This window comes from Homo sapiens, chromosome 20 (genome assembly GCF_000001405.40).
Source record: "Homo sapiens chromosome 20, GRCh38.p14 Primary Assembly".
NCBI lineage: Eukaryota > Metazoa > Chordata > Mammalia > Primates > Hominidae > Homo > Homo sapiens.
In genome coordinates, this window is record NC_000020.11 from 20,686,461 (window position 1) to 20,711,995 (window position 25,535).

The 25,535-nt window shown below is 41.4% G+C and overlaps 1 protein-coding gene across 18 annotated transcripts in view; it reads right to left on the bottom strand.

Annotated features, from left to right (window-relative positions):
* Positions 1-25,535, bottom strand: part of RALGAPA2 (Ral GTPase activating protein catalytic subunit alpha 2) — a 323,115-nt gene that overhangs the window by 296,931 nt on the left and 649 nt on the right. The gene's annotated exons all lie outside the window — the stretch shown is intronic.

Consider the following 25,535-nt stretch of genomic DNA (forward strand, 5'->3'; position numbering starts at 1 on the left):
GACTCAACCTGGGAGGAGCCGAGATCGCACCACTGCACTCCAGCCTGGACGACAGAGTGAGACTACACCTCAGAAAAAAAAAAAAAAAATAGGGCTAACAATGGTTCTTACATCACACGGCTGCTGTGATGATAAAATGAGCATATGTAGAATGCTTATAAGAGCTTCAGTCAGCATTATAGAAATGTCAGTAGTTTTAGAATTACTTTGCTCCTGGCAAAGGTCACTAATCCTAATACAGCAGTAAGTACTACCAGTATACACACCCACAAAACCAGTGGGATTATCCATCTATTTCCTTCCACATATAATCCTCTTCAATAGCAATTCTATTGCTTTTTATTTGGAAGGGTCATAACACAGTCTCACAAAAACCTGCTTCAGCAGACCCCTAGAAAGCACCAAAGGAAGGGAAAAAGTCCTCATCTCACTCAGGAGCCCCAGTGGGATGCTATCAAGGGAGGAAGGAGCTCGTGTTCAGTTCTCCTCTAATAGGGAATGACCCCCCTGCACCTTCTATACTGCCTACACCCCTCCATTCCCAAGCCAGAACTAAGAGCCATCCAAGCCCTGCCTATAGTCCTGTGTGTAGATGAAGATAGGTGTCCTTTACTATTTTAGTGAAATTCCCTGGATAATGGCACTGAAGGCCTGATGATCAAGATAACAGGCTGGTGATAGGAAAAAGGGTAAGTGAAGAATGTAAGGCAAACTTGACAACTTAATAAAACAGTCATTCAGAAGCACTCAGTGAGAACAAGGAAAATAATGAAGTGCAAAAGAACTAGTCAGACACAAGACAGAAAATGCAGACAAGGATGGATATCATTAGTAATGCACCATTACTTACTTATAGGCTAATATGATTCTGGCGATTTCACATTTAAACAGCTGCCTAGGTCCCTGGGTAGTTTGCAGAAATGCCACAAATCATTCCTTCCTTCCATCCACACATTTGGATGGTGCCCAACCACAGTGATCCAGGACTGATCTCCTGACTTGCTTTGGCCAAAAAGGCCTTAAAAATGTGGCAGTGGTTGCTGGGAGAGCCGCAAGTAGTTGCTGATCCAAGCAAAATGAGAAAATTCATGAAAAGCTGAACCCAACCCACCAGTCTGGAGCCAACCCCAGGCAACCGTCAGTGAGAAGAAGAACCACCCCAGCGAATACAGACCCAACACAGTGAGGGAGAAAAATGGATGCCTGTTGCTGTAAAGCTCACGGAAGCTGCTAGGTTTGGGAAGGTTTGTTATGCAACACTATTATAGAAATGGTGGTGCAGAAGAAGAAACTCAGTACAGAACAGCCTCACTGGTCATAAGAGCCAGCAAACCTATGAAGAGATACCCCCAAGTATAACACATCATCCCCTCCATTAAAGAAGGAAAAGCAGGAAAAATGAATCCAAGTTACAGAGGCTTGCCCACTGACACAAACTTTCTGTCAACAGTGATCCATGCTAGCCAGAGTGAAGGCAGGAATTCCTTTTCCTGACACCAGCCAGTATGTTTCGGTACCTCCTATGCGTGCAGTAATGTGCTAACTGCAGGTTAGAAGCTTATCTACATCAGGAGGCAAAAACCTACAAAATAAGACTTTCCAGATTCAGCAGGCAATCAGATCATTAAACAGGAGGTATACCAGGGATGACTGGCTTTAATGGCCAATCAACACTCTTATCATCATCATCATTATTAAAGAGAAATTCACATCTGAAAAATGCCTATAAATACAGACTTTAAAATGTCTCCTGGAGAATCACTTGAACCCAGGAGGCAGAGGTTGCGGTGAGCCAACACTGCGCCACTGCACTCCAGCCTGGGCAACAAGAGCAAAACTCCATCTCAAAAAAAGAAAAAAAAAAAGTATCCTGGACTGATTATTTGCAAATACAAAGTATTCATGTGGATGAAAATACTAATTTACAAAGCAGAAAACTTAATGCATCAGACAAAAGACTCCAGCCCCAGTGCTATCATGGCGTGAAACTCGAGATCTGGTCAAAGATGCGGTGTGACAAGCCCAGGTGGGGAAGGATGGAATAGGAAGTGGGCTGTGAAGGAAGCACAGAGTCCCCTTAGTCCCCTTAGCTAAGCCCTAGTCATCCCCACAAGTCAGTTCACAGGTAAGGACACCTTGCCCAGCTCCTCACATACTGCTCTTAGATCCCCTCCTACTTCTATACCTCAGTCTCCCCGACCAGACTGTTAGCAGAGAGTGTCAGGTCTCCATTCAGCCAAAGCACAGGTATTGAATACATGTGTACTAAATAAACACATCAAACAGCAGAATTTAGATATACAGAGAGGCTTCATAATTAATCCTTTCAAGCATTCCTGAAGGTCACAGCAAATAACAAAAATGATTTTTTAAAAATCGAGGTAAAACCTCTTACAATAATGGACCAAAAAAGATTCCTCCAAATCAGGAGTCAGGACTACTACCCTAGATACAGATGATAAATTACTAAAAGTAACAAGCAATGAAGGTCCACCCTGCAGCTAGTATTAATTTCTAGTAAATAGTAACATTTTCAAAAGAATGATGGAGCAAATGTATGTTCATCCCTTAAGTTACCAATAGCATTCATATTGTTAAATTACCTTTTATATACCATCTATTATATAAAAGTCTCTATGTTATGTAAGAAAAATCTGAAATCAGAAACATCCTCCTCAGCACTAAAATTTTTAAACTTGTTGATATATTTTAAGTGAATTTATGTTAATTTAATTATATTCTTTTACCTTTTAACAACTTATTTTTTACAAAACAGCAAGGAATTATCACCATCATATTTGTTTTACACACACATATATATTATGCCTGCTACAAATGTAAAACTTAAGGCATAACTATGAGTAAATATTACCAAAATCACACTTTCTAAAAAATAAAATAAGACAGGAACAGTGGCTCACGCCTGTAATCCCAGCACTTTGGGAGGCCAAGGCGGGCAGATCACGAGGTCAAAAGGTCAAGATCATCCTGGCCAACATGGTGAAACCCCGTCTCTACTAAAAATACAAAAATCAGCTGGGCATGGTGGTGCACGCCTGTAATCCCATCTCCTTGGGAGGCTGAGGCAGGAGAATCACTTGAACCCGGGAGGCGGAGGTTGCAGTGAGCCGAGATCGCGCCACTGCACACCAGCCTGGTGACAGGGCGAGACTCCGTCTCAAAAAGATAAAAATAAAAAAATACAATATGTCCTCAGGCCCGCAATTTCCTCCTCTCAATTAAAGTGAGGAAAATTGGTAGAGATCACAAAAAAAGACTCTTAATACAATTGTTACAAGGAGTTTCAAAAATTAAAGAAAATTAACATAAACACTCTCAGTTAGGGAGCTCACTCCTCCTGCAGATTCAGCCAGCAGCTCAGGGCAGAGGTTCCCTCAGTTCCTGGCCTGTCATCTGAGTTCCATCCCACAAACCGAAATACCAGCAGCAAATCCCTTCCTGGATTTTCTGCTTCAAGAAAATCCACCCCTAACCTCACTCACCCTTCCCCAAACCTTCCCTGTCCACTACCCCCCTCATCTCTGTCATATCTTTTTCAGTCTAAGGTTATTTATAGAATTTCTGCAAAGCTTTATGAACCAAAAGACATAAGTGTATTCTACAAGTACACTTGTCTAATATCATCAAGATTTCGTATTTCAGAAAAATTCTCTGAAGTATTATACTTTCAATCTGCACCCACTTTAGCATAAACATCACTGGAAACATGTGATATGGAATTACTCCTGAAGTCATCCAGAACTTAAGTAATAACATACTCAAGATAACCCTGGCCCCTCCTTTAATACACAGCACCCCACCAGAGTGATGGGAGATCCTCCCCTTGCTCCTTGCAAGACCCCCCATTCCCTCCTCCTTACCTAGCTACCATGAGCTGCCTAAGAAACCAAACTCAGTAAGGAGACTATAATTAGAAGTAATCATTGACCACCCCCTAGGTACACATCAGGAGATATCCCATCAGGCCTTGCACTCAGGTTTCCATCCATCTCCTGGGAAATCCAATTCCCACATGATCTTCATCTCTGACTGTCACCCCCACACAGCTCTGGGCATCACTAATCTCACCCTAGCTTCCTCACCCTACCCTCCCACCCACTATATCCAATAAAGCTCACCAAATTCCGTCTTCTATGCCACCTGTAAAGGCTGTTTCCTTTCAGCTGTACCTGAAACCTGGAAGTCCCCTCAGCACACTGCTTCCTTGCAGTCTGCCTGGTAAGGCTTTTGTCTTCCTCCTACACTCACATACCACCAGGCCTAAGATGAGATAGGTGGCCCCCTTGCTCCCCACTGCAATCTCCAGACCATTCTGGTCCTTCCCTCACACACAGAGTGCTCCTCTGCTGCTCACACCATCTACCTCCAACTACATCTGTGCCAACTTTCACTGACTGGAGTTGCACAATATTTCCCACATCCCAAGACACTCTCCCGAAGATTCCAGGGCCCGACTGTCTTTCAGTATATTACTAGCACTGTCTTCACTCCTGGTGGTTTCAACATTTATATATATGATGCCTGACTCCCCCATTTCTAATGAGGTTGTCCTCTACCCTACCTCTGCCGCCCACACCCACAGCCAGATCCTAGACCTGATGGTTACTTACAATCTTCCCACCTGCAAGCCTCAGTTTCAAGAAATCCACTCTCTCGTCACCCGCTATTTCTTATCCTTCCCGCCCACTCCTTCTGGAACCCTAAGTCCAACAACTCTTCAACCTTACTGGGTCCTTGAATCCAATAACCCCACCACCTTGTCACTATCTCTGATGCCCCTCAAGTCCTCACTTCCCTTCTTTCTCAATTTAACTTCCACAGTTCCTCTTTTTAGTCAGTCATTTCACTGTCCTTCAACCCCTCTGCCTCTTTCTCCCTCTAACGTATTCACACAATAAAACCCCAGTCTCAGTTTCAACCTGATTCAATTGAAAGTATTTATCAGAGCACAGGCCATGTACGGGATACAAAGGATTTTTTACAATTTTGTATTAAATATTTAATCCATGTGAAAAAAACCAGTTTTGTATATACATAATTTATGATGTATAATAAAACAAACACCTTAAATCACCCACCCAACAAAAGCATCCAGTCCAATCAGGCTTTGACACCACTCCCCGACACAGTGCTAAGGAGTTCCACACCGCTAATCCAATGGCCAATTTTCACTTCTCTCCAGGGCCAATAGCAGATACCCATGTAATCTGTGTCCAAGCACCACTAGCCTGGTCCATCAGAAGGAAGGGGAGCCTAGAATCCTGACATAAAACTTCTGGATGTATGGTGGGGCCTAAAGTGTATATTCCTATTCCAAGTGATATAGTTTGGATATTTGTCCCCTCCAAATCTCTTGTTGAAATCTGATCCCCAGTATTGGAGGTGGGGCCTGGTGGAAGACATATGGATCATGGGGGTGGATTCCTCATGAACATCCTGGTGCTGTCCTTACAGTAATGACTGAGTTCTCTATTAGTTCCCATGAAAACTGATTGTTACAAAGAGGCTGGCACCACCTCCTCTCTCTTATCATGTGACGCCCACTCCCCTTTGCCTTCTACCATGAATGGAAGCTTCCTAAGGCCCTCAAAAGAGGAAGATGCTGGTGCCATGCTTCTTGTATAGCCTGCAAAACCATGAGCCAAATAAACTTCTTTTCTTTATAAATTACCCATTATTCCTTTATAGGAACACAAAGGGACTACGACCATAGGAAATGAAACAAAGTCATCTTTTAGCTCCACTGACAGGTTTGTTTCTTACATACAATTACAGCCATGTTGTACATACCTGTTTAAATTATAAAAAAATTTTCCATAAATATATATTCAAAAATTTATCATAACTGACCATTTATTTCCACAAGCATTCTTCATAGTATTTTAAACTAAAAACTGAGAGCAGCCTGGAGCAGACACTGTTGCTTTCTCTCCAGCTCCTTCACCTCACCCACCAACCACAAACAGACCCTCCCTCTTCCTAATAGAGCCTCCATTTGCTCAGGGATCTCCTCCTCCACAAAGCAGTGCCCCTCTCGGAACCTGGCCTGTTCGCAGCCCCAGAGGGAGGACCTGATACTGCTGAGCCAATTATGGTGGCAACATGCTCCTTGCCAGTGACTCAAGCCTGTGACCCAATGCTGATCAATACAAAACAACAGAAAGTCTGATGAAGATAGCTGAGAAAAGCTTTACTGATTTTAAGGAAGAAGTGTGCCTTTTTTTCCTGCCTTTGGATATCATTCTATCTGGGTGCAATGGCTGTGGGCATTTTGCCACCCTGAGGACAAACCTGCCACACTAAGGATAGCAAAGCCAAGAGGTGGAAAGCATCTGGACTGTCAACATCACCGAACTCATGAATTAGCCAACTCTGGGGCCTCCCTGCCTTGGGACCTCTTTTTATAGGAGAAAGAAATTCTTATTACTTGCTTATATTTGAGTTTTTTGTTACTTACAACCAAAAATATCCTTGTAGGCAGACAGCTGAAATAAAATTTGCCAATTCCAACAGGAAACAAACACTAGTGTCAACTGAAATGATCACAGAAATTATAATATTAATCCTACTTCATTTCTGAAAGCATATTGTTTTCATTTCTTTATTCCTATAAAGTAAACCAGATGTAGAACATCAAATTCTTAGAAATCAGATAAATAGTAACACTCCATTATCCAGGAGTGATAGTCCTTGTGTAAAAGTAATTCTGTATAAAGATATAGTCCAAATACTTAGTGTTAAAGTTTTTAAAAGTAGAGCTATTTTTACTTAACATTTTTGACACACGTTTCTCAAATACAGGATTCTAAAACTTTGTTTTTAACAGATATCAAATACCAATATAATAAAACACACTATAGAAACTGATATCCAAATCAAATGTGAGTTATATTACATTTTAATATATTTATCTATCAGGAATCAAGTTTCATTAGACATTTTAAAGTCAATGCACACTTGGACCTCCTTTTCTTGATCTGAATTGGAGCTAGCCTACATTATAATCAAAATCGCTCCTGAGGGGAAAAGTTGGAGACAGAAATAAAATGACTACAGCCTAGGAGCTGTAGTCACCTCCACCCCTCTAACTAAGGAGGCAGGAAAGTGATGAGGAGAGTGTTTACAGCTGTCGAATAATGTCTCATGTCAAATAATTATGATTAACAGTAATAACAGCTCACAAAACAGCTTTGTATACATTGACTCAACCTCCAACAACCACAGGATGGTGGGTACCATTCTTACCCCCACTAGAAAGGGTAGGTCACTGCCAAGACTCGAACCCAGACAGTCAGGCTCCCATACTGTTCACCCAATTAAGTGTAATACTAATAGAAAGTTGGCCGGGCACGGTGGCTCACACCTGTAATCCTAGTACTTTGGGAGGCTGAGGCCTGCAGATCACTTGAGCCCAGAGTTCAAGACCAGCCTAGGTAACATGGTGAAACCCCATCTCTACAAAAAATACAAAGGTTAGCGGGACATGGTGGCGTGTGCCTGTAGTCCCAACTACTTGGGAGGCTGAGATGAGAGGATGGCTTGAGCCTGGGATGTGGAGGTTGCAGTGAGCCATGATTGAGCCACTGCACTCCAGCCTGGGCAACAGAGCTAGACGTTGTCTCAAAAAAAATGAAAAAATTTCAAAAAAGATACCGTAACTTTAAAAAAAAAAAAGTGAGGGAGGAGGTTAAGGGAAGCATGCCTGGAAATCTATTTTGTTTTATTTTGCTGTAAAACAAAAAGAACACAGGAGAGATATGGTACAAGTCACAGAACTTAATAGTTATTAAATACAAAAGTACACCCAGAAGTTGGTTTGTTTAAAAAGTACACCAGAGCCAGTTTGCAGGTGGAATGACCTTCCTCCTAGACAGTTCAAAATGGTGGCATTTCTGTGAAATTAACTCAGTAAAGACTGAAGTGGCTTTCCCCAAGGAACCCTCTTTACCTCCAGGAAATCATCATATTATCCCAGCTTGTGAGCAGCCTCCAATATTGTCATCTCTGCTGTGTCCCTAACACAAGAAAACGAAGGCCCTTCTGGTCACTGGGCAGTCACTCACAGGCACACAATCTGCTAACAGCATGTGAAGGCCTGAAACTCATGACCTGAAGGATGGGTGATAGGGAATTTTGTTATAGGAGTCCAGTGGAACACACTACAGCCATTGAAGTCTTATGTAATTCTTCACTTACTGATGTGGAAAAATATCCAAGGCTTTAAGTCAAAAACACAGTGTTAGACCATGCAGATGACTATTCATGTAAAACCGTGTTTGTGTGTGTAAGCGAGGCAGGTGCAGGGAAGAGAGAGAGAAAGGAATGCACCCAAGCAAGAGCCAGCCTGGAAAGCACGTTCACCGGGATTTCAGTAATGCTTGGCAGGGGACTGCAGAATTTGAGAACCCCTTGATACCTAAATTATTTTTCATATATTCATATTATCCAAATGTTTATAATGAGTATGTAAAATTGTAGAACCAGAAAAAGCTATAAAGCTGTTTTGGGGGGTACTTCCAGGGCGTTCGAGAAAGGGATTTTTTTCAAAGCCTGAATATTTACTGCAAAAAACTCATCAATCATGACACCAGGCCATACTTTTTTCCAAACCTGTCTTACTTTTCAACTTTGAAGAAATCTTAAGACCCAAACAATATATAAAAGAGTATCTTTACCAATTCTAAAATGTTGTAAAAAACAGCAAATGACTTAAATTTTCTCTATCCAACTTTTAAATTACTCCTTCTGTAACAGCACATACATGGTACATAATGCCTTAGAATGACCTAGTTATCTGGAGAAGCTTTGCTGTTTTTGTGTTTCTCTAGACATCATTCACTGAAAAGGATAAAAAATAATAGAACTGGGCAGAAAGACATTTCTCTGTCCAGCCATTCAGCAGCTAGCACTGAGTAGGCATGAGCAAATGTTTGACACTTTTGAATGCAAAGATGTGATGAAATTTCCAGTCACAATGAGACCCATTCCCAAGACCTGGGAGCCTTAGTCCATATGAGTCAACCTTTCCTTGTTGTGCTTAAACCTGACGCTGACTGACTGTCAACTGACAGAACAGAAGCTTCTTCATAGCACACTATAAAAGTGCTAAAGACCTGGTTTATGCTCAGAAATGATGTCTCTGGAAGAATACAAATGATTGTCCTCCTGTATGTAGCTAACCTAATACTGTCATATTTTGAAACACCACAGCCACCTTTCTGAGTAAGACATAAGGTTCAGTTAGCAACACTGGTTCATAGAATTACATCTTTGCAATTAACACTGAGCCAAAGATTAAGATTCCCTCAGGTCTTTCCATTGAGAAAAGACCAACATAAAGCACAACTGGGGTCCTAATTTGGGTGGATATCTGATGTGGAGCCAATCTGCAGTGTTTGCTGCCTTTGCAACCATTCATATTAAATTGTTGTTGTACTGACCCATCAACATTTTTCTGGTCTCATTCTTCTCCAGCCACTGACAGATCTCCATTTTTTTTTTGTCAGCATCAAGGGCACTTTTTAATATGCCTGCTCTCTGCCTGTCAGTAGATTTGGGGATAACAGCAAGCCCGTCTCCATATTGTTACAAGCTCAGGCCGCTGTGTGGGCCCATTACATGGCCCAATGTACTCCAGCTTTCCTGTCCCACTGGCCACAAAGTGTTTCCGTCCTGTCTTCTCATCACTACTCGCTGCTGCAGTAAGGAGGGACACAGGCTGCCTGTCCCCATCTTCCTTAACACCTTTGCTTGCTACAGATTCCACAGCCACTCATTCCTCTTCTCTGGCACTTCTTTCTCTCTCTTCCCTCTTCTCTTGTCTGCCTCCAGTCACTGGTCGGTTTTTGGGCCAAAGATCTGACCTTTTATAAAGTAAGCCAAAGAAAGCTTTGTTACAAAGCTTGTGGTCAGAAAACCTATCTCTGGCAAGCTAACCAAGCAAGTGTAGTCTCTATGAGGGAACCACATTGATTCCTTTACACCTAAAGGTCAGTTCAGATCACTCCTCTGCTCTTTGCTTCACTGGAGTGCCCCATCTTATCTTACTTAGAGTAACATCCCAAGTCCTTACTGGGATGCCAAAGTTCCACACCATCTTATCCCTATTTCCCCTCTCCCACCCCCGCTCCTTTCCCAGTTCCTTCTATCCTCCACCCCTCCACCCCTATTGACTTCCATGAGATTTCCAGTCTATTTATGACTCAGATCCTGGTACTTACTGTTCCTTCTGCTTAGAACACTATTCCCCAAAAATAATCACAAAGCTGCTCCCTTGCTTAACCCAGGTCTCAGTCCAAACCTCCCTTCAGAGAGGCCTTCCCTCACCCCAATATCTAAATAAGCATACACATACCCTTATCAAGCTTAATTTTTCTATCATCATTACCTGAAATTGTATCATATATTTATTATTTGGTTTTTTTGTTCTTGATTTTTAGAGATGGGGTCTCACTGTGTTGGCCAGGTTGGTCTTGAACTCCTGGCCTCAAGCAATCCACCTGCCTGGGCCTCACAAAGTACTAGGATTACAGGCATGAGCCACTGCACCCAGCCTGTTATTTATTGTCCATCCACCCTAATAGAATGAAAGTCCCATAAGTGCTAGGGCTTCATCTGCAAATAGCAGACACTCAGTCACTATATGTGGAATGACTTTAAAAACAGTGGAAACAGTCTAAGCTATGTAGACTTAAAGAGTGGTCAATCCCATTTGTTAAAAGGGCAACGCTTTACTTCCATCAAACTAGAAAAATAATCCTCTCACTTGAGCCTGGGAGAGCAAGGCTGCAGTGAGCTGTGATCACACCACTGCACTCCAGCCTGGGTGACAGAGTGAGACCTCCATCTCAAAAAAAATTTTTTAATTAAAAAAATAGAAAAATAATCCTCAAATATGACTCCCATAATCTTAAATAGAATTTACAGAATGTCATCTAAGGTTTGCTCAATGTTTTATGATTATTAGCACAAAAGTCAATGAATGTCATGTGGTACAAATGGGCGTGGGCAGAGCTATAAGCAGTTCTGTTGTGGGAGGTAATGTGCCAGAATGCCTTTCCTCTACTTTCTCGGAAAGACAGGAGCCAGAATGAGGTTCTATCTCTAGGAACAGGACAAGTGATCCAGGCTGACCAATCACAGTACCCCATCTCCCTCACCCAGCGATTGGTACAGGAATGGGTACAGGCCCTAGGGGAGTGGCCACACTCCTCTCAAGGGTTACTAGCTGCCAGGACATGTCAGGCTGGCAATGCTAGAGACCACCACACCTGTACCTGGCAGAGTTGGCCTGAGAATGAAGCAGAAGCACAGAAAACAAAAAACACGGAACCAAAGGTAGAGACAATTTTCCACCAAGTTGGGAGGTGGGAAAAGAGAGTGGATATGAGACTGGGTAAGTACCCTGACCACATACATCCCTGTGGACAGTCATCTCTAAAGCCAAACGCTCCCTTAGACTGTTTAGTTACGTATGTCATTAAATCCTCTTTGGCATGGGTTTCTGCCACTTGCAACCTAAAAGTCCTAAGAATTACAAATACAAATGTACTCAACATATACTACCCTCCTGGTGGAGCAGAATAATTAAGAAAAGAAAAAAAAAAGCCTAGTCTGGTTAAACATATACATACAGGTGGCTGTCAAGAGCTGGGGAGAGGAGGGAATAAGCAGTGAATGCTTAATGGTTAGTTTTCCAGGGGTGATGAAAATGTTTTGGAAGAAGATAGAGGTAGCAGTTGCAAAATGCTGTTAATGTATTAAGCACCACTGAATTGTTTACTTTTAAATGATTTTTTTTTTTTTTTGAGACAGAGTCTCACTCTGTCGTCCAGGCTGGAGTGCAGTGGCTCAATCTCGGCTCACTGCATCCTCCACCTCCTGGGTTCAAGGTTTTTGGTTTTTGGTTTCTTTGTTTTGTTTTGTTTGAGATGGAGTCTCGCTCTGTCACCAGACTGGAGTGTGGTGGCACGATCTTGGCTCACTGCAACCTCCATATCCCGGGTTCAAGTGATTCTCCTGCCTCAGCCTCCCAAGTAGCTGGGATTACAGGCACCCACCACCACGCCTGACTTATTTTTGTATTTTTAGTAGAGTATTTTGTATTTTTAGTTTTACCATGTTGGTCAGGCTGGCCTCAAACTCCTGACCTCAGGTGATCTGCCCACCTCAGCCTCCCAAAGTGCTGGGATTACAGGCGTGAGCTACCGTGCCTGGTCTAAAATGATTAATTTTATGTTATGTGAATTTCACATCAATAAAAAAAATTAACATTCAAACAATGCTGCAAAGCACTTCTTGATGGTAGAATAGGCTTTTGCGAAAGAGGAAACTGGGTCAAATGGGATATACATTTCAAAGATCATTGATCTGTATTAACAAATGACTTTTCAGAAAGATTGTTCCAAGTTACAGTCCTATCAAAAATGGAGACAGCTTACACAGTATACTATCATCAGAGAAAAAAGACAACAGCAAATTTGCTAATATAATGGATGAATATATTTTAATCTCTAAGTTTATATATTTAGATTACTAGTGAGGAATAAACACTGAAAACATTCTTATGGGTCTTGGCATTTGTCCATTTGCAATTTACATATACATATATTTTGAACATTTATTTATCACAATTTTTCTGGTTAATTACACGTTTTTTATGTATTATGTATGTAACTATTTCTCCTCTTATAAATTTCAAATATTTTTCCAGTTCATTATTTACTTTTTACTTCAAAGGTGATGTGTCTGTTTCTATATTTATTTATTTTAGGAGCAGGGAAAGAGAAATGGAACAATTCTTTCCAAAATAAATATTTGCAATATGACACACACAGACAAAGACACAGACACATGTTGAGAAAGACTAGAGGATATTTTACTTCCACTCCAGGAGTTCAGCATAAGCTATACCACGTCAAGCCTAACTGGCCAAATGCATCCTCATCTTATTAGATACTATAGAGTCCATGGAATCGAGAGAGAGTCTGCACTGTTTACACCAGGAATATGACCAGACAGAAATAAAACACGGTAATCCCTAACAGAAGTTGTAAAGAAGCAATGTATGTCTTCAGTTCCCCTCTCTTCCATGCAGTTCTGAAAACACTATCAAAGATTTCATTTAAAAATTTTTCCAAATAACCCCATTTAAAAAATGGGCAAAGACATGAACAGATATGTCACAAAAGAAGACATACAAGCGGCCAACAAACATATAAAAAAGTGCTCATCATCACTAATCATCAAAGAAATGCAAATCAAAACCACAATGAGATACCATCTCACACCAGTCAGAATGGTTATTAAATAGTTAAAAAAAATGACAGATGCTGGTGAGGCTGTGGAGAAAAGGGAACACTTATACACTGTTGGTGGGAATGTAAATTAGCTCAGCCAATGTGGAAAGCAGTTTTGAGTTTCTCAAAGAACTTAAAACAGAGTTACCATTTGACCCAGCAATTCCATTACTGGGTATATACCCAAAGGAAAAATAAATCATTCTACCAAAAAAAACACATGCACTCATATGTTCATTGCCATGCGATTCACAACAGAAAAACATGGAATCAACCTAACTGCCCATTAGTGGTGGATTGGATAAAGAAAATGTGGTACATATACACCATGGAATACTACACAGCCATAAAAAAGAATGAAATCATGTCTTCTACAGCAACGTGAATGCAGCTGGAGGCCATAAACCTAAGCGAATTAATGCAGGAACTGAAAACCAAATACCATATGTTCTCACTTGTAATTGAGAGCTAAACACCAAGCACAAGGGGACATGGCAATAAGAGACACCGTACACTACCTAGAGGGGGGATGGAGGGAGTGGGGTATGAGTTGAAAAACAACCTATTGGGCACTATGCTCACTATGTGGATGACGGGATCCATACCCCAAATCTCAGCATCACACAACATACCCACGTAACAAACCTGCACATGTACCCCCTGTACCTAAAATAAAAGTTGAAATGTAAAAAAACAATTTCCTCACTAGCTGTAACAGGTCTTTGATTGGGGGATGGGGTGGGGAATGTGACTCAGTTTTGGTTTTCATAAATTTAAAACTTTACAATAATGTCTCTCCAATTTTGTTCTCATGAAAGACTATCTGGGGAATTTGCCTAAGCCTGCCCTTGCCAACAGCTCTCCAGCATTACTGCCCCTCTTTCCCCCGAACCCCATCAAGGTTTACGAACACCAATCTCTTCTCCCTTTGGTTCACAGAAATAGTCCTTTCTTATATCTATTCCCCTTAGAATCCAAGGGATTGGTCTGATAATGAATGTGTGTAAGCAAAGGAGATTAGAGAATTCATTTGGGAGAAACCACCACTCTTAATTCATGATCTTGAATCATTAATTTAATGTTGGGAAATTCTGACTGATGAAAACAAGCCTTTGGGGCAGGAAGGCTTTCAGGAATTGTTTAAGCCATGACGGACCAGCTCAACTCCCCAGTAGACTTAGATCTAGCTATTCTGAAATCACATTTTTGGTTGTTGTGGGTTTTTTTTAAAAAGTTACTTATTCTAAACTAAGATTGCAAGCTCTGGTATGCCTAGTGCTATGCACAATGTCTGCCACGTAGTTTGTGTTGGACATATAACTGCTGAATAAATAAAGGAACTCGAGCCAGCTCCCTGGGTTCAAATGCTGATTCTGCCACTCATTGGATGTGTAACCTTGAACAAGGTTCTTAACCTGTCTGTATCTCATGTGTAAAATAGGGATAATGATATTCCCTATCTCTTTGGGGCAGATTAAATGCATTAATAAATGTAGAAATATTTAGGGCACTGTTCAGCACATAAAAAGTACTAAATAAATATTATTATTATTGAAATAAGGGAGTAAGTTACCAACAGAAATCAAGATGAAAAAGAAGCTGCTCAGGTTCTCTATGCACTTATCATTTAGTGGGAAAGAACACGGATAAGGCATGAACACAAATAAACATGGTGTGGGCCGGGCGCGGTGGCTCACGCCTGTAATCCCAGCACTTTGGGAGGCCAAGGCGGGCAGATCACGAGGTCAGGAGTTCAAGAAGAGCCTGGCCAACATGGTGAAACCCCATCTCTACTAGTAATACAAAAAAATTAGCCGGCACATGCCTGTAATCCCAGCTACTGGAGAGGCTGAGGCAGGAGAATTGCTAGAACGGGGGAGGTGAAGGTTGCAGTGAGTGGAGATTGTGCCACTGCACTCCAGCCTGGGCGACAGAGCAGGACTTCATCTCAAAGAATAAATAAATAAATAAGCATGGTGCGGCCAGGCGCAGTGGCTGACACCTGTAATCCCAGCACTCTGGGAGGCTGAAGTGGGTGGATCACAAGGTCAGGAGTTCGAGACCAGCCTGGCCAAGATGGTGAAACCCCGTCTCTACTAAAAATACAAAAATTAGCCAGGCGCGGCGGCAGGTGTTTGTAATCCTAGCTACTCGGGAGGCTGAGGCAGGAGAATCGCTTGAACCTGGGAGGCAGAGGTTGCAGTGAGCCAAGATCGCACCACTGCACTCTAGCCTGGGCGACAGAGCAAGACTCCATCTCAATAAAAAAAAAAAAAGAAAGAAAGAAAGAAAAGAAAAGAAGCATGGTGCAAAGCCAAAGGCCATTAATACCAAACAAAAGCTACAAAGTGCTGTGGGAATTCTGAGAAGAGATACATTCAGGGCAAGAGGATGAAGAAAGCCCACATGGAAGATAAAAAGTGTTGGCAATGTCTCCTGGAAAAACTGTAGATGGCAGGATGGACAACACCATCCAGGAAATGGATGGTAGATTAGTGTGGGTTCTCTGAGAAGTAGAGGCCAAGACAGGATTAGACATGCAAGAGATTTATTGGGGTAAATGCCCATGAAGGATAAATGAGAAGGAGCTGGTGAAGGCAGGGAGAGGATTTAGACCACGATGCAGGTCTGACCCCTGGGAAGGAGAAGGGGAATGAAGGAAGGTTGAGTAGGAAGTGTCAGACTTCAACATAGGTCTGAGAAGGTCTTAGGCCAATAGGAAGTCCTCAAGCCAAAGTGGCCCTTCAGAGGCATCTGAAGTGTGCAGGAACAGGCAGCATTAATACTCCTGCAGTGCTCAGTAATGGGCTAAGAGCTTCCCAAGGGAAACTAAGCTTTGGCTCAAAATTGGTAGATTCAGGGAGCAGCAGCTGGGGCCATCAGTCAATCATGCTCCCCACAACAGGAGAAGCAGCACATTCTTATGGCTCTCATAGTCAGGCACAAGCAATGTCACAAGTACCATGCTTGTACTTTCAGGCATGGTTAAGGTTCAATGAATATGTGTCATCACCTGAAATCAAACACAATATCCATGGGCTCCTGAACTTTATCAAAAGGGATTTTTTTAACTTAACCATAATTGTAATATCAAAATTTGATTACTACTTTGTCCAGGCATGGTGGCTCAGGCCTGTAATCCCAGCAGTTTGGGAGGCCGAGGCGGACTAATCACTGGAGGCGAGGATTTCAAGACCAGCATAGCCAACGTGGCAAAACCTTGTCTCTACTAAAAACACAAAAATTAGCCAGGCATGGTGGCACAAGCCTGTGATCCCAGCTACTCAGGTGGCTGAGGCATGAGAATCACTTCAACCCAGGAGGCAGAGGTTGCAGTGAGGCGAAATTGCACCACTGAACTCCAGCCTGCGTGACAAACCAAGACTCCATCTCAAAAAAAAAAAGAGATTACAACTATTTTTAAAATAGCTGTGGCTTCAGTTTCTAAAACAACATAAAAGACATAAAATGGTTATGAAACATCACTTTTCTGAAAATTAAGGCTAAAACCCTGAATTGAGGATTCAGAATGAACTCAGAAACAAATCTACTAAGAATCTATATGGTAAATCCTTTAAATGACATAATCTCTCTAAAATTCCTATTTTAACTTTATCAAATTCTCAATTGCTAGATTTTGCTAGCGGATTCTGGATCCTCTCACCTGAAAATGCTATTTGTATTGACACATCCAGGAGGCTTTAACTATGTAAAGATAACCTGTATTAGAGACCACCTAAAATACATTCACAAATAGATATTTAATAAATTTCTTTTATAATTAATATGAACTGATTGCTTAAGGTAGTAATTTGATTAAATGAGACTATGAGAAGACATTTTGCAAAAGTGTAAACTGGTACATGAACATGAGATATCAACAGAGTTACATTTTATATGCGGTTAAGTCACAAGAAAGGCAAAAGTAGAAAAAATTAAAATGATCCTTTAACTCTGGAGTCATACCCAGCAGGGGGATGTTCTCACAATGAAAGGCATAAAGGAAAGAAGACTATGGACGACATGGCGGGTTCCTATGTCCCACCTTAGGTCCACTCTAGGGCACATGTTCATTGAGTGGAAGGGCACACAACATCTGTGCTACTTAAACTGGCCTCATTCTATATAGATTTTCCGCCTTCTTGATGAATATTTAACATAAACGTTAAATGCATTTTTCAGTCACTCCCTAAGGAAAAAAAACAAAGCCTTCCAGATAACAGATGTCCTTTTTTTAAGAGGTTATGTGGCACAGAAGAGGGAGCAAGACATATTCAAGTTCCTATCACCACATGAGTAAGAAAACTGGCTCAGCAAATGACTTCACCTGCTACCTTCACAGAGGGTACAGAAGCCATGGTGTGAGAACTCCCTCCATGTCCCCATCATCTAGCACCCCATTCCTGCTTCTTTCAAGTGGCCTTAGAGGAAGAGGTGTCCCTCTTGTTAAGCCTGATCTCCCACCCCAGGCTCTCAGTCTCACTGCAGATCACACCGTTCTGCATTATTATCCCCCGTTTCTTCAGTTTTGCTCTTCATTAGCTACTTCTCCTATATAAACTCAAATTCCTCCAGTTCTAAAAAAATATAAAAGTCAAATCTCCATATACACAAACACCTCCATGTTAGGTACTCTTTCAACTCCAAGACCCAGAAATATGACTCAAGCTAGTTAACATGTTACCAGTTCCTGCAACTGAGCAGCTCAAGAAGGTCCTGGCAAAGACATGGCCAAACTCAGGACTCATGGGCTTCCTCTCACTCTCCACCTCTCTATTGTCATTCCCTCTGAGAGTAGGATTCAATTTAAGGCACATGCTCCCCACATGGTGGGAAAAACAAATGCCAGCAGCCCAGACTATATCTTCAGGGCTTGCAATCCAAAGGAAGGGAGCTCTCTCTCTCCCAGCATCTATGTTTCAAATCTCAGAGGAGAATGGGATTCTCAGACACTAAATGGGAAGAGATAGGATGTGGCTCCTCTTCTGCTTAAAACCCTTCACTGGAGTCCCAACATCTACTTACGCCACAGGATAAAAGCCATTGTGCACTTAACTCCATGGTGCTACACACCATTACCTTTGCACAAGCTCCTCTCTCTACAGAACCCTCATCCCCAACTTGTCCATCTGGTAAAATCCTTTATCCATTATTCAAAACCTACCTCAGACCTAAGCTCCCTAAAGAAGCACTGGCTGGTGTCTCCAGGAGGCTTTGCTGCTGTTCCTCCTCTGCACCTGTGCCCACCTCTATGGTTCCACCACACTCCTCTGTGCCACTCAAAACCCTCACGGTAAATTTCATTGTTTACATGGCTATTTCTCCTACCAAACCATAAATCCTGGGCTTGTGCCTTATTAACATCCAAACACAGACTTACTTATATCAGGCATGCACTCACACAGTCTTTAAAACAATGTTTGTGACTTGATTTTTGTTGTTGTTGATACAGGGTCTTGCTCTGTCACCTAAGCTGGAGTGCAGTGGCATGATCAAGGTTCACTGTAGCCTTGACCTTCTGGGCCCAAGTGATCCTCCAGCCTCAGCCTCCCGAGGAGCTGGGACCACAGCACATGCAACCATACCCAGCTAATTTCTTCATTTTTTTTGTAGAGAAGGGGTCTCACTATATTGCCCAGGCTAGTACTGAACTTCTGGGCTGATCCTCTCACTTAACCCTAGCAAAGTGTTGGGATTACAGCCATGAGCAATTGCACCCAGCTTGATTTTTTTTTAATTCAAGTACAAGAATAGTTGTTTAATACCTTATATTCGTTATTCTTAATTTCACAGAACAATAATTTATATGCCTTCTTTTAAAAAATTTTTAAAATTCAAATTGAAACAACTTGCTATTTTGAAAGTCAAGTTTTGTTGTTGTTGTTGTTTTGTTTTGTTTTGTTTTGTTTTTGAGAGTCTTACTCTGTTGCCTAGGCTGGAGTGCAGTGGTGCGATCTCTGCTCACTGCAACCTCCACCTCCCAGATTCAAGCAGTTCTCCTGCCTCAGCCTCCCGAGCAGCTGGGATTACAGGCACGCGCAACCACCCCTGGCTAATTTTTGTATTTTTACTAGAGACGGTGTTTCACCATGTTGGCCAGGCTGGCCTTCAACTCCTGACCTCGTGATCTGCCCACCTCGGCCTCCCAAAGTGTTGGGATTATAGGCGTGAGCCACCGCACCCCGCCAAGGTTTTTTCTAAATAAAAAATTCTCTATAGTTTTATATTGATACCCCGTTTGGTAACCAAAAATCAGTACTCTACATACCTAGTAAAAGTATTATGCCTGTCCACAAATAAAGTACTTACAAAATAAAAATCCAAATTATAAAAGTTTACAGCAAAATATTCTAGACCTACCAATTATCTCCCTTCTCAGAGTAAAAGATGGAAGCCAACCTTTTTCAGTTATCTTAAACGAGTTTGGACATTTACCCTGTGTTCACTTTTCTCACATCAGAAGTCTAGACAACCTCAAGCCTTAGAGGGATGGATGGTGTATTTGTGCTACATATACGTGTCCAAAGTTCCATTTACATTCTAGAGGTTATAAATGTAATTGATGAAAAAACAGCAAAGGAAGCATTACGACAAAATCACTTTGTACCAAATAAGGTCAACAGAGAGAGACCATACTAAGACTGCCTGAAGAGTTTGAAATTACACCTCCCAGCTTTGTTCTAGTTGTAGAATGTCCACGTGGCATTAATGTCCACGCAAATATTTATCACCTGCTAGGCCTGCCAAGGTTACAGGGAAGGCAATGAACACTAAAACACCGGAGGAGATTGTTTATCGTCTGCCCATGCTCAAATCAAATATGATAATCCCAAGTCTCCCTAGAAAAATGCAGAAAAATGGACCAGAAAGAGAGAGGCCAATATCACAGCAACATTTCTGGGAGGCATGCAAAAACTGTTGTGATTTTGTTTCTATGTTATCATTCATTCTACTAGATAAATACATTTTCTGATATGTAAATTTCCTTTTGAATCAGATAACTAGCAGAAGCATAACATGGCCTTCATAATCAGATAAGTCTCAGCTTTCCCACTTGCTGGCAGACAAGTAGCTATTCTCACTGAGCTTCAGTTTCCTCAGCTGGGGATAGGAACACTTCCTTTGTCACAGTTGCAAAAAGATTCAATGATGTCATGATGATAATAACCAATAAAACTAAATATATGATAGCATTCTATCATTTCATTAAGGTCCAGATCCCATGTCCCACAACCCCCCAGACACGCCACTTGGATCTTGCCTTTTCTTAAACTCAACATGTAGAACACCAAACTCATCTTCCCCGTCCTTGCCCAGGATCCCTTCCCCCTTCCCAATTGTTCTCACTCTGTAGATGACACTCCTATTATCCCAAATACCTACCACCAATTATCAAATTATAAAAAGGTGTTTATTGGTAGTCAGACTACAGTGAAAATGGCAGCCTCAATCCTTGCTGCTAGCAGGGCCAATGGAGCAACACTTAGAAAAGCACTGTGAAACAAGTCATCGAATGTTCAAACCCAGCAATCTTACTTCAATAAAATCTAAGGAAATATCGAAAAAGCTGCTTCTCAAGATGTTTACTGCAGTATTACTTCTATCAGGAAAAGGGAAGGAAGAAAAAAAAGGAAAGAAGGAAGGAGAGAAAAGAACAAAATTTCACAATCCAGGAAATGGTAAGCTAAATTATGGGATATGGTCTCAACAAATGTTTGTACTTAAAAATGAGAGGAACAAAACATCAAAAATGCTAATGATAAAATAAAGACAACAGTTACAACTGTAAGTCAATTTGTTCCTACCTAGAGCAACATGAGCAACATATGCACAAAAGGAACTATACGACAATGCTATGTTTTGCTCTGTTTGTATATACAGCATTTGTGAGAGACGGTTCTCTACTCTCTGGTCCAAACCCAGGTCACTTGATTTGACCTGAGTCTGGCTTCTGATCCCCCAGCCAGCCTCAGCTTCTGCTTGTCAGGCTACTGTTCCACTCCTTCCCCAGGAACCTACCCTACCCCTGGCCTATGCAGGACACTGGGGACATCCTCTGGGCAAGGGTCCTCAGTGCCCAACACCACACCTCGCCATGTTACTTACCATCACTGTCATGTTACTTCTGCCACCAGCTCTTCCATCTTCCCCTGGTTGTAATTGACCTTCCCCTCTACTTTCCCAGATTCTAACCTTGCTATGTCCAGTGTGCAGCCACTAGTGACATATGGCTAATGAGCACTTGAAAAACAGCTAGTGTGAACTGATATGTGCTGTAAGTATACAATATACACTGAATTTCAAAAACTTCATATGAAAAAAAGATGTAAAAAATACTGATAGCATTTTATATTGATTACCTGCAGATATAATATATATTAAATACATGGAGTTAAATAAAATGCACTATTAAAATTAATTTCACCTGATTCTTTTTACTTTTTAACATGTGGTCACTAAAAAAGATTAAAATTGCACATGTGGCTTACATTATATCTCTATTGGACAGAACTAGTCTAACCATTCTTTGGAACCCAGCGTAAGTAAAACGTTGATATGATTTGGCTGTGTCCCCATCCAAATCTCACCTGGAATTGTAATAATCCCCATATGTCAAGGGCCGGGTGGAGATAATTGAATCATGAGGGTGGCTTCCCCCATACTGTTCTCATGGTAGTGAATGAATCTCACAAGATCTGATGGTTTTATAAATGGGATTTCCCCTGCACAAGCTCTCTTGCCTGCCACCATGTAAGACATGACTTTGCTTCTCATTCACCTTCTGCCATGATTGTGAGGCCTCCCGAGGCATGTGGAACTGTGAGTCAATTAAACCTCCTTCCTTTATAAATTACCCAGTCTCAGGTATGTCTTTATTAGCAGAGTGAGAACAGACTACTACAAATCTCCTTAAAGATGCCCCTATTTTTATGACATTCTTAATTATCTCTTTTGTTCTCTGAAATCCTATAATGGATTCTACCATATACCTGACCATCTAATTACATAACACACCATAAATTTACTATTATTTTGTATCTATTCTTCTCACTACATCAATGCCAGTTCTATATCCTAATTTAGGACTCATAGTAAGCACTCAACTTTTAATTAGAATCTGGCCAGGCATGGTGGCTTATGCCTGTAAGCCCAGCACTTTGGGAGGCTGAAGTGGGAGGATCGTTTGAGTCTGTGAGCTCAAGACCAGCCTGGGCAACATGGCAAAACCCCGTCTTCTACAAAAAATACAAAAATCTGGCCGGACATGGTGGCTCACACCTGTAATCCCAGCTCTTTGGGAGGCCGAGTCGGGCAGATCACCTGAAGCCAGGAGTTCAAGACCAGCCTGGCCAACACGGTGAACCCCTGTCTCTACTAAAAATACAAAAATTAGCCAGGCATGGTGGTACACACCTGTAATCCCAGCCACTCAGGAGGCTGAGGCATGAGAATTGCTTGAGCCCAGGAGGCGGAGGTTGCAGTGAGCCAAGACGGCACCACTGCACTCCAGCGTGGGTAACAGAGTGAGACTCCATCTCAAAAAAAAAAAATACAAAAATGAGCCTAGTGTGGTGGTACATGCCTGTAGCCCCAGCTACTCCAGGGGCTGAGGTGGGAGATTACTCGAGCCAGGGAGGCCAAGGCTGCAGCAGTTGAGGCAAGGTCAAACTACTGTACTCCAACGTGGACAACAGAGCAAAGATCCTGTTAAAAAAAAGACATGGAATCTTTGCTGGAGCAATATGGTAATACACAGGGTTTTTTGGTTTTTGTTTTGTCAACAGTGTAGGAAGAACTGGAAGTCACAGGACCTAACAGCTCTTCGTTCTTCCTCTAACATAAGTAAACCGTCTGCTACATGGCTTGATACGTGTCAAGCCTGCCTGTGCCTCAGCTTACCCCTCTGTAAAATAAAGTTAATCATACCAGACCAGTCTATAGCCAGGTGAAAGTATCTACATCCAAATTGGAGTTATTACCATGATACTAAGAAATACTCTACTTCCACAGCTAATTTTATGTTTCTCACCCAGTTGTTTTAAATACAGACTACTTTTTAGGAAAAGAGAACAAATTCATCACTATTATCAAAAATAAGAAAGACGGAGAAAAATTACCTATCAAAATACTGGTCCTATCCTATTAATGGTGGGAGATATGTAATGGGAAAGAAACTGTTAAAGGCCTACTTCAAGCTGAAGTCATTTATTCATCATACTCACAATAATCCTTTAAAAAGCAAACATTACCATACCCATTTTACAGAGCAAAGAAACCGAGGTTCAGAGACAGGCTACGTAACTAGCTCAAGTCATGAAGCTGCAGGCGGCAGGGACAGGCTGCAAATACCCAAGTAAGTGGCATAATCTTTGCATACTTAAAAAAAAACTTTATTATCACTTGAAGATAAAATATATGAAAAGCAAAAGTGTTATATAAATACACACATAAAAATACAATAGTAATTACTATTCATTTCCTTCAAATAGTTTCCTTAATCTTGGCTTAATTCCTAACTTTCAGTTCAAGAGGCCTTTGTTTTCTAAGTAGACTTTTTTTCGAGTAGCAATGAAATAGAATATGTGATTAGGTAGGAACTAGTGCATTACGTACTACTTTTTAAGTCTTTAATAAATCACAGGAGCAAGTGAAAGTTTACATTAAATATTATGACTAGAATTCCTCAGACACATTTTACAAAAATCTAGTCCCTACAAAGATCACAGTAATAAACAAAGCAAACTGGGCCACTCCACTAGTAAGTATATCAACAAAAAACATACACCTAAGGAAATATAAAAGAACCTCTCCATGTTACAAAACTGAGGTCATGATGAGTTCAGTGAAATGATAAAAGAAAGTTCCCTAAAATAAGACCTACACCTTAGAGTGAAACTACAATTTTACAAACTTGAAAAGAATCAACTTTCTCAGAATGGGAACAATGTACTGTGTGCTAAGAAATAACCTGATCTAGGTTTACTTGATTCTGCCTTTATAAAATGTAGCCAACTTAATCTTGCAGACCTGGACAGAACAAAAATTTAAACGCTAAAGCACAGAAAAAGGCTCAAAGTATCAAACGCTTTAAAACACAGCTCAACTCTCCTTTATCAAAAATGTCCCTGCAGTAGGTGTTAATCAGTCACTACCAGGAACTCCACACAATGCAACCTGTGTATTGTGCAACCTGTGCGTGCATGGTATCTACAGGAAGTAGAAAATTCAGTTTACCAAGAACGCCACACTTCACTCTCCACACTTCACTCTCAAAAGTCTTGAAAACGAATCCCTGTAACAGCAACTAATTTACATTTCATTTCAAACTGAACAAGTCAGTGTAACCTCAAGGTATGTGAGATTGTGAATAACTTCACTTGGCAAAATCAGGTGTGGTTTGGTTTGGCTTGGGTTCTTCTCCCCCTCAGAGGTAGAATATAAATAGAAATAATCAGCAACTTCTGATCTCATGAACAAGATCTTTATTTAAAATCTTCACACGTTAAATCATTTTATGCAATATTCTTTCAAGTGACAGACACATTAGCACTAGGCGATTTTTGTGAATTTTGGGACTAAAAGACACCTGGAAGAAACATAAGGTGTTCTTTCCTTCGCCACCAAATACACAGGTAAGTGTGTCTATAGATAGCAAAGGTGTTTTCATCCCAAAGAAAAGTTAAGACTTAGGATGTAAAAAAATACAGAAAACAAAACATAGCCTAGGCGAACCAGCTACAGATCACATGCAGCAGGTGACAGGAAGCCTTGTGGACACCTCACACCCACAGGGGCGAGCTTCATCACAGGTCAACTCCAAGCCCACCTGAGCTCCTCAGAACCTCCACCTGGCAGGCCATAAACCAGAAGGTGGCAGACAGCATCACTGTCATGCCGGTAATAAAGGAGAAGCAGCCTCCCTGAACCCAAGAAAACCACCCCTCTCTCCAAGCAGGAAGAGAAGGCCCCTTCACACCAAGGACACAAAGAAACTGAAGCAGCCAGACCCAAAATAAAAATTAAATTTAAAAAGCAGCATGGGAAGACAGATGACAAATCTGTGCTGGGATCGCCTGGAATCTCGGTCTATATGGGGGTCTCACACTCAAAAGTAAAAATAAAATTTAAAAGGGGGATGACAGAGATGAGAGCCCAATTAGGTCTGTGCTGGGTTCACTTGGGGTCTCGGTCTACTTAGGGTCTCAGACTCAAAAA